The following is a 12,276-nucleotide window of genomic DNA, read 5'->3' as shown; positions in this document are numbered from 1 at the left end:
AGTGAGACTCCATCTCAAAAAAAAAAAAAAAAAAAAAGATAAAAAAAGAAAAGAAAAGAAAAACCTTGGATGTATCTATGGCCATACCACCCTAAAAGCATCTGATCCTCGTCTCACCTCGCAAGCTAAGCAGTGTCGGACCTGGTTAGTACTTGGATGGGAGACCACCTAGGAATACCGGGTGCTGTAGGCTTGGGCTGGTCACAGTGGCTTACACCTGTAATCTAGCACTTTCGGAGGCTGAGGAGGGTGGATCACCTGAGGTCAGGCGTTTGAGACCAGCCTGGCCAACATGGTGAAACCCTGTCTCTACTAAAAATACAAAAATTAGCTGGGTGTGGTGGCTTGTGCTACTTGGGAGGCTGAGACAAGAGAATCGCTTGAGCCTGGGAGGTGGAGGTTACAGTGAACTGAGATTGCACCACCCCACTCCAGCCTGGGCGACAGAACAGGATTCCATCTCAAAACAAAACAAAACAAAACCAAACCATCCATGGAAATGTTCCTACCTGGACTTAGGATGGGAGACGGAGAGTTCTCCCTGACAGGGTAAAAGAAGCCTTGACTTGGCCGGGCGCGGTGGCTCATGCCTAGAATCTCAGCACTTTGGGAGGCCGACTCGGGTGATTCACCTGAGGTCAGGAGTTCGAGTCCAGCCTGGCCAACATGGTGAAACCCCATCTCTACTAAAAATACAAAACATTAGCTGGGTGTGGTGGCACAAGCCTGTAATCCCAGCTACTTGGGAGGCTGAGGCAGGAGAATCGCTTGAACCCAGGAGGCGGATGTTGCCGTGAGCCGAGATCGTGCCACTGCCCTCCAGCCTGGGCAACAAGAGCAAAACTCCGTCTCAAAAGAAAAAAGAAAAAAAAAAAAGCCCTGACATTGACCAGGTCTGGGCCTGCGACTGGAAACCTCTAGGGTTGGAAACTTGTAAGTCAGGGACCTTCTGGGCACCGCCACAGGGAGTCCAAAGACAAAACTTCCTTTTGGATTTAGTAGAGCTTTAAGAGCACCTGTTGTCTGTCGGCATCTGCAGCTTCCTTGCAGGACAAGACCAGCAAGGCTCTCTACTCTCTGAGAGCTTCTGTCCTAGTGGGTGGGAGAGATACACTAAGTAAACTAATAAAGGAGACCAGGTGGGGTGGCTCACGCCTTAAATCCCAGCAGTTTAGGAGGCTGACCAAGGTGGGTGGATCGCTTGAGCCCAGGAGTCTGAGATCAGCCTGAGCAACATAGTGAGATCCCATCTCTACAAAAAATAAATAAAAATGATAGAAGAATTAGTCAGGCGTAGTGGCACGCACCTGTAATCCCAGCTACTCGGGAGGCTGAGGGAGGAGAATCGATTGAACCCAGGAGGCGGAGGTTGTGGTGAGCCGAGATTGCACCACTGCACTCCAGCCTGGGCAACAGAGTGAGACTCCGTCTCAAAAATAAATAAATAAGTAAATAAAAATGAGCTGGGTGTGATGGTGTGCACCTGTGGTCCCAGCTACTTGAGAGGCTGAGACAGGAGGATCACTTGAGCCTGGGAGTTGGAGGCTACAGTGAGCCATGATTGCACCACTGCACTCCAGCCTGGGTGGCAGCTCAGAACCTGGCTTTTAAAAACAAAACAAAACAAAAGACAAACGGAAGAACAAGGTAATGCCAGTTTGTGACAAATGTTGTATATATAACAAAGCAAGGTGAAGCGGTAGCAAGGGACAAGGGGTTCCTTGAAGACCGCTTTGAGGAAGGGACCTGTGAGAAAGGTTGTCTCTCCTTTGGAGTGACTCTTCCTGTCTTCCTTCCTTCCTTCCTTCCTTCTTTCCTTCCTTCCTTTCTTCTTTCTTTCCTTCTTTGTTTCATGGAGTTTTGCTGTTGTTGCCCAGGCCGGAGTGCAATGGCGTGATCGCTGCTCACCGCAACCTCCGCCTCCGGGGTTCAAGCAATTCCCAGCCTCAGCCTCCCGAGTAGCTGGGATTACAGGCATGCGCCACCACTCGGCTAATTTTGTATTTTTGGTAGAGATGGAGTTTCTCCACGTTGGTCAGGCTGGTCTCGAACTCCCGACCTCAGGTGATCTGCCTGTCTCGGCCTCCCAAAGTGCTGGGATTACAGGCGTGAGCCATCGCACCTGGCCTTCTTTTTCTTTCTTTATTTTTTTGAGATGGAGTCCTTGCCCAGGCTGCAGTGCAATGGCACGATCTGGGCTCACTGCAACCTTCGCCTCCTGGGTTCAAGCAATTTTCCTAACTCAGCCTCCAGAGTGGCTGGGATTACAGGCGCCCACCACTGTGCCTGGCTAATTTTTGTATTTTTAGTAGAGACAGGGTTTTGCCATGCTGGCCAGGCTGGTGTTGAACTCCTGCCTCAGCCTCCCAAAGTGTTGTGATTACAGGTGTGAGTCACTGCACTAGGCCTTCGCCTTCGCCTTCTCCTCCTCCTCCTCCCCCTCCCCCTCCCCCTCCTCCCCTCCCCCTCCCCATCTTCCTCCTCCCTCTCCTCCCCCCTCCTCCTCTCCCCCTCCCCATCTTCCTCCTCCCTCTCCTCCCCCTTCCTCCCCTCCCCCTCCCCATCTTCCTCCTCCCTCTCCTCCCCCTCCCCCTCCCATCTTCCTCCTCCCCCTCCTCCCCCTCCCCCTCCTCCTCCCTCTCCTCCTCCTTGCCTTCCTTCTCCTCCCCCTCCTCCTCCCCCTCCTCTCTCCTTCCTTCCTTCCTTCCTTTCTTTTCTTTCTTTCCTTTCCTTTTTCTTTGCCCCTCCTCCTCCTCCCTCTTTCCCCTCCTTCTCCTCCTCCACTTTCTGTTCTCCTCCTCCTTCTTCTCCTTCTCCTTTCCTCCTCCTCCTTCTTCATTCTTCTTTTTTTTCTCCCTCTGTTGCCCAGGCTGGCATGCAGTGGCATGATCCTAGCTCACTGCAGCCTTGAACTCCTGGGCTCAGGTGATCCTCCTGCCTCACCCTCCCTCCCAAGTAGCTAGGTCCACAGGCATGCACCACCACATCTGCTGAATTATTTATTTATTTATTTATTTATTTATTTTATAGAGACAGAGTCTTACTATGTTGCCCAGGCTGGTCTGAAACTCCTGGGCCCAAGCAGATCCTACCGTCTTGGCCTCCCAAAGTGCTGGGGTTACAGGCATGAGGCACCATGCCTGGCCTACTTCCTGTCTTCTGAGAGGTTTCTTGGGATCTGTGCCCTGGGGATGTTTGCAACCACATGCTGAAATAAGCTTTTTTTTTTTTTTTTTTGAGAGATGGAGTCTCACTCTGTCTCCCAGGCTGAAGTGCAGTGGTGCAATCTCAGCTCACTGCAACCTCACTGGGTTCAAGTGAGTCTCCCAGCCTGCTGAGTAGCTGGGATTACAGGCACGTGCCACCACACCTGGCTAATTTTTGTATTTTTAGTAGAGATGGGGTTTTGCCATGTTGGCCGGGCTGGTCTCAAACTCCTGACCTCAGGTGATCCGCCTGCCTCGGCCTCCCAAAGTGCTGGGATTACAGGTGTGAGCCACCGCGCCCGGCCTAGCATCTTTTTTATTTTATTTTTTGAGACAGAGTCTAGCTCTGTTGCCCAGGCTGGAGTGCAGTGGTGTTAGCTCACTGCAACCTCCGCCTCCCGGGTTCAAGCCATTCTCCTGCCTCAGCCTCCTGAGTAGCTGGGATTACAGGGTCGAGGAAATTGAAGTATTTCTCCACCAGCTCCTGTCTGTCCCTGCCTAAGGGTTGCTCCAGAGAAGGGAGGTGGAGAGGTGTTAACTCTCTGGCACTTCTGAGTTCCCTGCCCACAGGGACTGTGAGTGCTCAGGGATATAGACAGGGTGGTATGGTACCTGCTGTAGATATAGATGCACCTGCCGCAGGTATAGATGCACCTGCCGCAGGTATAGATGCACCTGCTGCAGGTATAGATGCTGAGTGGGATGGCTGAGTCATAGCACACCAATACTCAATCCTTTCCAATTATTTATCAGAAAGGCTGCCCACTTTACATTCCCATTGCTACTGTGTGAGTCTTTCCACATGATAATATCTAGCTTAAAAAAAATATGGGTCAGTCACGGTGGCTCATGCGTGTAATCCCAGCACTTTGGGAGGCTGAGGCAGGAGGATCGCTTGAGCCCAGGGGTTTGAGACCAGCCTGGGCAACAGTGAGACCTGAGACCCCGTCTCTACAAAAAAAAAAAAAAAAAAAAAAGTAGCCGGGCACAGTGGCGCATGCCTGTGGTTCCAGCTATTTGGGAGACTGAGGTGGGAGAAATGCTTAAGCCCAGGAAGTTGAGGCTACAGTGAGCTACTATTGCACCATTGTACTCCTTCCTGAGCAACAGAGTGAGGCATCGTCTCTAAGAAAGAAGACATATTTTTTCAATTGGCTTTTAAGGTTTCTCCTGAAATTAAAAGGAAAAAAGAAAAAAATTTAAATTTTGGTCCAATATAATATAAAATTGGCCAGTTTAATTTTTTTTTAATTTTGGAGATGAGGTCTTGCTCTGTCACCCAGACTGGTGTGCAATGGTTTCATCATAGCTCACTGTAGCCTCGAACCCTTGGGCTCAGGTGATCCTCCCCACTTCAGCCTCCCAAGTAGCTGGGACTACAGGTGTGTGCCACCGCACCCAGCTATTTTTTAGATTTTTTTTTTTTTTTTGTAGAGACGGGGTCTTGATATATTGCCCAGGCTGGTCCTGAACTTCTGGTCTCGGACGATCCTCTGGCCTTAGCCTCCCAAAGTGCTGGGATTACACGCATGAGCCACTGTGCCCAGCCATTGTAACCATTTCTAAGTGTGCACCTCCGTGGCATTAAGCATATTCACATGGTTGTACAACCATCACCAACATCCATCTCCCGAACTTTCTCATCTTCTCAAATTGAAACTCTGTCCCCATGAAACACTAACTCCCCACCTCCCTCCCATAGCTGCTGGCACCCACCATTCTACTTTCTGTCTCCCATGAATCTGACTCCTCTAGGGACCTCCTACAAGTGGAATCACACAGGATTTGTCCTTTTGTGTCTGGCTTATTCCCCTGAGCATGATGTCCTCATGGTTCATCGATGTCACAGCATGCATCAGAATTTTCTGCCTTTTCAGGGCTGCATAATATTCCATTGCATGGATGAACCACATTTTATCTATTTACCCCTCTGCTGGTGGACACTTGGGGGTTGCTTCCACCTTTTGGTTCTTGCGAATACTACTGCTATGAACACGAGGGTACAAATATTTCTTTCTTTTCTTTCTTTCTTTTTTTTTTTTTTGAGATGGAATCTTACTCTGTCGCCCTGGCTGGAGTGCAGTGGTGTGATCTCGGCTCATTGCAACCTCCGCCTCCCGGGTTCAAGTGATTCTCCTGCCTCAGCCTCCCAAGTAGCTGGGATTACAGGCATGCACCACCACGCCTAGCTAATTTTTCTATTTTTAGTAGAGACGGGGTTTTGTCATGTTGGCCAGGCTGGTCTTGAACTCCTGAGCTCAAGTGATCGGCCTGCCTCAGCCTCCCTAAGTGCTGGGATTACAAGCATGAGCTACTGCACTGGGTTTAGCTGTACCAGTTTACATTCCCATCAACAGGACACCTGTGTTCCAATTTCTCCACATCGCCCCTCAGTACTTGTTATTTACTATCCAGCTTCTAAGATTTTGGAATGTGAGTTAGCTATTACTTTGTAACAAATTACCCAAAAATTTACTAGCTTTAAAAAAGTATGTATTGGCTGGGCTGCAGTGGCTCACGCCTGTAATCCCAGCACTTTGGGAGGTCAAGGTGGGTGGATCACTTGAGGCCAGGAGTTCAAGACCAGCCTGGCCAACATGGCGAAACCCCGTCTCTACTAAAAATACAAAATTAGGGGCTGGGCGCGGTGGCTCACGCCTGTAATACCAACACTTTGGGAGGCTGAGGCGGGTGGATTACGTGAGGTCAGGAGTTCAAGACCAGCCTGGCCAACAGGGTGAAAACTTGTCTCTACTAAAAATACAAAAAATTAGCCGGGCGTGATGGTGGGCACCTGTAATCCCAGCTACTCAGGAGGCTGAGGCAGGAGAATCACTTGAACCCAGGAGGTGGAGGTTGCAGTGAGCTGAGATCAAACCACTGCACTCCAGCCTGGGCAACAGAGCAGGACTCCATCCAAACAAACAAACGAACAAACAAAACCAAAAAACAAAACAAAACAAAACAGCCCCTCACTGTTTAAAATATATATATAGCTGGGCGCGGTGGCTCACGCCTGTAATCCCAGCACTTTGGGAGGCTGAGGTGGGTGGGTCACAAGGTCAGGAGATCGAGACCATCCTGGCTAAAACGGTGAAACCCCATCTCTACTAAAAATACAAAAAATTAGCCGGGCATGGTGGCGGGCGCCTGTAGTCCCAGCTACTCAGGAGGCTGAGGCAGGAGAATGGCGTGAACCTGGGAAGCAGCTTGCAGTGAGCCGAGATCGCGCCACTGCACTCCAGACTGGGTGATAGAGCGAGACTCAGTCTCAAAAAAAAAATATATGTATATTTATATATATTTTATATTTATATATATTTATATATATTTTATATTTATATATAATATATTTATATATATTTTATATTTATATATAATATATTTATATATATTTTATATTTATATATAATATATTTATATATATTTTATATTTATATATATAATATATTTATATATATTTTATATTTATATATATAATATATTTATATATATATAATATATTATATATATATAATATATTATATATATATAAATATATTTATATATATTTTATATTTATAGATAATATATTTATATATATTTTATATTTATAGATAATATATTTATATATATTATATTTATAGATAATATATTTATATGTATATTTTATATTTATATATAATATATTTATATATTTTTTTATATTTATATATATAATATATTTATATATACATATATATATATGGAGTGGGGGTGGCCGAGGGGGAAGAGTGTGTGTCTGCGGGAGAAAGAGGAGAATCGCCCAAGCGGCCTCGGAAGCCCCAGGGAGTGGAGGCTCCCGCCGTGGAGCCATGTGGTGTATGTGTGGTAACACCACGTCTACGCCCCTCTCACTGATGCTGCCGCGGTGTCTGGAGCTGAGCGGGAAACAGCCGCGGTTAGTTTTTTATATGGACTTGGAGACACAGGGCACAGCTGGGCTGACGCCCTCTCCACCGTCCGGCTCCCTCACGTCAATTCCATCTGTCCCCATGTGCCTAGGATCCCTGTGACTCTCAACATGAAGATGGTGACACCTTCCTGATTTGACCTGATGGGGCTGAGTCCAGATGCCCCAGAGGACGAGGCTGGCATCAAGAAGGCAGCAGAGAACATCAAGGCCTTGATTGAGCATGAAATGAAGAACGGGATCCCTGCCAATCGAATCGTCCTGGGAGGCTTTTCACAGGGCGGGGCCCTGTCCCTCTACACGGCCCTCACCTGCCCCCACCCGCTGGCTGGTATCGTAGCATCGAGCTGCTGGCTGCCTCTGCACCGGGCCTTCCCCCAGGCAGCTAAAGGCAGTGGCAAGGGCCTGACCATCCTCCAGTGCCATGGGGAGCTGGACCCCATGGTGCCCGTACGGTTTGGGACCCTGACGGCTGTTGTCACACCTGCCAGGGTCCAGTTCAAGACATACTCGGGTGTCATGCACAGCTGCTGTCCTCAGGAGATGGCAGCTGTGAAGGAATTTCTTGGAGAAGTTGCTGCCTTCTGTCTAACTAGTCGCTGGCCCCAGTGCGGTGCCCCAGCTCATGGGGGACTCAGCAAGCAAGCGTGGCACCATCTTGGATCTGAGCCAGTCGAGCCCCTGTCCCCACCCTTCCTGGCCTGTCCTTTTCCCACAGGCCTCTGGGGCAGGTGGCAAGGCCTGGCCGGGCTTTCCTTCCTGGCCTCAGCCACCTGGCTCTGTCTGCAGCAGGGGCAGGCTGCTTTCTTATCCCATTTCCCTGGAGGCAGGCCTCCCTGGCAGCAGTATTGGAGGGGCTACAGGAAGCTAGAGAAAGGGGCCCAGCTGCTGACCCACTCACTCAGGACCTCACTCACTAGCCCCGCTTTGGGGCCCCTCCTGTGACCTCAGGGTTTGGCCCATGGGGCCCTTCCAGGCCCCTGCTCTAACTGATTCTGCCCAGATAATCGTGTGTCTCCTGCCTCCACTCAGCTACTTCTCAGTCATGAAGGTGGCCATGGCCCTGAGGTCCCCTTGCTGCTGTGGGCTCCCTGTCCCTGGGCAGGAGTGCTGGTGAGGAGGTGGAGCCTTTTGAGGGGGGCCTTCCCTCAGCTGTTTCCCCAAACTGGGGGGCTGGGCCCTGCCTCCCCATTACCCTCCTTCCCTGCAGGCCTGGAGCCTGTAGGGCTGGACTGAGGTTCAGGTCTCCCCCAAGCTGTCTCACTCTGACTTTGTCCCCACTCTAGAGCAGGGAAGGGGTGGGGGAGGAGTTGTGTCTCATCTTCTGTCTCCATGTGGTTTTTGGGTGCTTTTCTTGTTGTGTCCTGGATTCTGATAAAATTAAAGAAATTGCTTCCTCAAAAAAAAAAAAAAATATATATATATATATATATGCCCAGGTGCAGTGGCTCACGCCTGTAATCCCAGCACTTTGGGAGGCCGAGGTGGGTGGATCACCTGAAGTCAGGAGTTCGAGACCATCCTGACCAACATGGAGAAACCCCATCCCTACTAAAACTACAAAATTAGCCGGGCATGGTGGCGCATGCCTGTAATCCCAGCTACTCAGGAGGCTGAGGCAGGAGAATCGCTTGAACCTGGGAGGCAGAGGTTGCGGTGAGCTGATATCGCACCATTGCACTCCAGCCTGGGCAACAAGAGTGAAACTCCGCCTCAAAAATAAATTAATTAATTAAAAATTAGGGCCAAGATCACGCCATTGCACTCCAGCCTGGGTGACAGAGTGAGACTCTGTCTCAAAAAAAAAATATATATATATATGTATATATGTATATATATGTATATATGCGTATACACGTATATATGTATATATGCGTATACACGTATATATGTATATATGTATATATGCGTATACACGTATATATGTATATATGTATATATGCGTATATACGTATATATGTATATATGTATATATGCGTATATACGTATATATGTATATATGTATATATGCGTATATACGTATATATGTATATATGTATATATGCGTATATACGTATATATGTATATATGTATATATATGTATATATGTATATATATACACACACACATATACATATATATTTGTGATTTATTTATTTTTCTTTTAGAGACGGGGTCTCCTTATATTTCCCTAGCTGGCCTCAAACTCCCGGCCTCAAGGGGATCCTCCTGTCTTAGCCTCCCCAGTAGCTGGGACTACAGTCGCCTGGCCCTCACCTGAGAGTCACATGCCTAAGAGTGGCTACGCTGGGCAGTTCATTCAATGTCCCTCCCCCACCTGTTCCAAGCAACCACTGATGTGCTGTCTGTAACTACAGATTAGTCGCATTTTCTGGAATGTTCTATAAATGGAATCATACAGTGCGTGTTTTTTGTAGCTTCTTTTGTTCGGTGTGCTTTTGAGATTAGTCCCTGTTTTGAGAGTAGCATAGTCTGTTCCTTTCTGTTGCCAAGTTTCATTCCATTGTAGGGGACACTTTGATTCATGTTACTCATCCCTCTTGTTGATGGAGGTTTTGGGAGTGTTTTTATAAGAGGGCAGAGTCCAGATCCCAATTAATTACAGGGTGGGTTTTGTGTACCCTGGAGGAACCCTTGCATCATAGTCAGAAGGCAGGTGAAGCTGAGTGAGGTGGCTCCTGCCTGTAATCCCAGCAGTTTTGGAGGCTGAGGTGGGAGAATCACTTGAGCCCAGGAGTTCAAGACCAGCCTGGGTAACAGCGAGACTCTGTTTCTACAAAAAATTTAAAAATTAGCCTGATATGGTGGGGTAGGCTTTAGTCCCAGCTACTTGTTTTTTTGTTGTTGTTTTTGTTTTTGTTTGTTTTTTTGAGATGGAGTCTTGCTCTGTCGCCCAGGCTGGAATGCAATGGCGTGATCTCGGCTCACTGCACCCTCTGCCTCCCAGGTTCAAGCGATTCTCCTACCTCAGCCTCCCGAGTAGTTGGGATTACAGGTGCATGGCCACCATGCCCGGCTAATTTGTGTATTTTTAGTAGAGATGAGGTTTCACCATGTTGGCCAGGCTGGTCTCGAACTCCTGACCTCAAGTGATCTGGGTTTTGTTTTTTATTTTTATTTTTTATTTTTTATTATTTTGAGATGGAGTCTCTCTGTCACCCAGGCTGGAGTGCAGTGGCATGATCTCGGCTCACTGCAACTTCCGCCTCCTGGGTTCAAGCGATTCTCGCGCCTCAGCCTTCCAAGTAGCTGGGACTATAGGCACCACACCCAGCTAATTTTTTTGTATTTTTAGTAGAGACAGAGTTTCACCCTGTTGACTAGGCTGGTCTTGAACTCTTGTCTTCAAATTATCCACCCGCCTCGGCTGATAGTCCCAGCTACTTGGGAGGCTGAGGTGGGAGGATCACTGGAGCCTGGGAGGTCGAGGCTGCAGTGAGCTGTGAAGCTGTGATGATCGTGCCACTGCACTTCAGCCTGGGTGACAGAGTGAGATCCTGTCTCAAAAATAAATAAATAGGAGGGCAGGGATCTGTGTTGGTGGATGTGATTTGGAAGGAGGCACTGGGTGTGGGTGGGTAGACAGGGAACCAGGCTGGTGTCATGCCACAAGGGGTTCACACGGGTGATCATTGCTAGACTGAGGGAGAAGATAAGGCCTAGGATGATCCAATCTGGAGGTCAAAGCATGGCATTCAGCTCTGTCATTTTTCTCTGCCTTCCATTTCTGCAACCTCAAATGGGCGCAACGTCCCTACCCCCCAACCCCAGTTCACCCGATGCCAAGTTGCATTATCTGTTTCCTGTGCATGGAGGCCCCCTGATTTCCAGGAGGGAGTGAACTGTGCATATGAGCTTGCGATGGGGTTAGCAGTGGGGCACAGGGCGCTGGTTTCCTGGAATGGGGTAAAAAGTGGCTGTAAGTCTGGAGGGATGCGACATCCAGGCGGAAAGCTCATGGAGGCCATATGAGGAGGGGACTTGGCCGACAGAGGTGACAAGGCCAGACTCTTTTTTTGTGCATGTGTGACAGAGTCTTGCACTGTCGCCCAGGCTGGAATACAGTGGCACGATTTCGGCTCACTGCAAGCTCTGCCTCCTGGGTTCACGCCATTCTCAGCCATACTCAGGCCATACTCAGCCTCCCGAGTAGCTGGGACTACAGGCGCCCACCACCACGCCCGTTTAATTTTTTGTATTTTTAGTAGAGACAAGGTTTCACCGTGTTAGCCAGGATGGTCTCGATCTCCTGACTTTGTGATCCGCCCACCTCGGCCTCCCAAAGTACTGGGATTACAGGCCTGAGCCACCATGCCCGGCCCAGACTCTTCTTATAAGGAGAGGGAGCTGAGGAATGGCCATTTCCACCCTCAGGCTCCCACCCTCTTCATGCCACAGTCCTGGAGCACCGCTCTCCACCGAGGCCCCTGCCCTGGCTGAAGTCAGCAACAGGACACCTCCCACTCGCTCCGGCTGGGCTGGGACCCTTGTAAAGGATCTTCTGCGTCCTTCATGAACTTGTGTTTTTGTTTTTTTGTTTGTTTTTGTTTTTGAGACAGAGTCTCACTCTGTCGCCCAGGCTGAAGTGCAGTGGCGCAATCTCGGCTCACTGTAACCTCCGCCTCCCGGGTTCAAGCGATTCTCCTGCCTCAGCCTCTCGAGTAGCTGGGATTACAGGTGCTCGCCAGCATGCCCGGCTAATTTTTGTATTTTTTGGTAGAGACAGGGTTTCGCCATGTTGGCCAGACTGGTCTCGAACTCCTGAGCTCAAGTGATCCGCCCGCCTCAGCCTCCCAAAGCAGTGGGATTACAGGTGTGAGCCACCGCGCCCGGCCTTATGCACTTGTTTTGACACCTGCTAGGTCGACAGAACCTTGTCCCCCGGAAGCCCAGCTCTGCCAGGAAGTCTGGGCTGACTTGACATCCCGTTAGCTGGGAGGGTGTGGAGGGTGGGCGTGCTCTACCCTGCAGACGGCTGGGTCACCTCTCACAGAATATACTGTGTCTCCTGTCGCTCTCCCTCCTATTCCTTTCTTTATCTTCCCCAAAATCTGGGGTCTACCTTGCATCCTGAAATTCCCAGGGCAGCATTCTCTTAGCAGTCCCTCGACCCCCCAACCAGATAAGGGGTTTCCTGGC

At 49.2% G+C, this 12,276-nt stretch overlaps 2 pseudogenes across 1 annotated transcript; both read left to right on the top strand.

Annotated features, from left to right (window-relative positions):
- On the top strand, positions 74–193 carry RNA5SP463 (RNA, 5S ribosomal pseudogene 463; annotated as a pseudogene).
- On the top strand, positions 6,938–8,551 carry LYPLA2P2 (LYPLA2 pseudogene 2; annotated as a pseudogene). The gene has a single exon (NR_033250.1). The product of NR_033250.1 is annotated as an LYPLA2 pseudogene 2 (transcript).

Source organism: Homo sapiens, chromosome 19 (genome assembly GCF_000001405.40).
Source record: "Homo sapiens chromosome 19, GRCh38.p14 Primary Assembly".
Classification (NCBI taxonomy): domain Eukaryota; kingdom Metazoa; phylum Chordata; class Mammalia; order Primates; family Hominidae; genus Homo; species Homo sapiens.
This window is presented reverse-complemented; position numbering and strand designations above follow the sequence as displayed.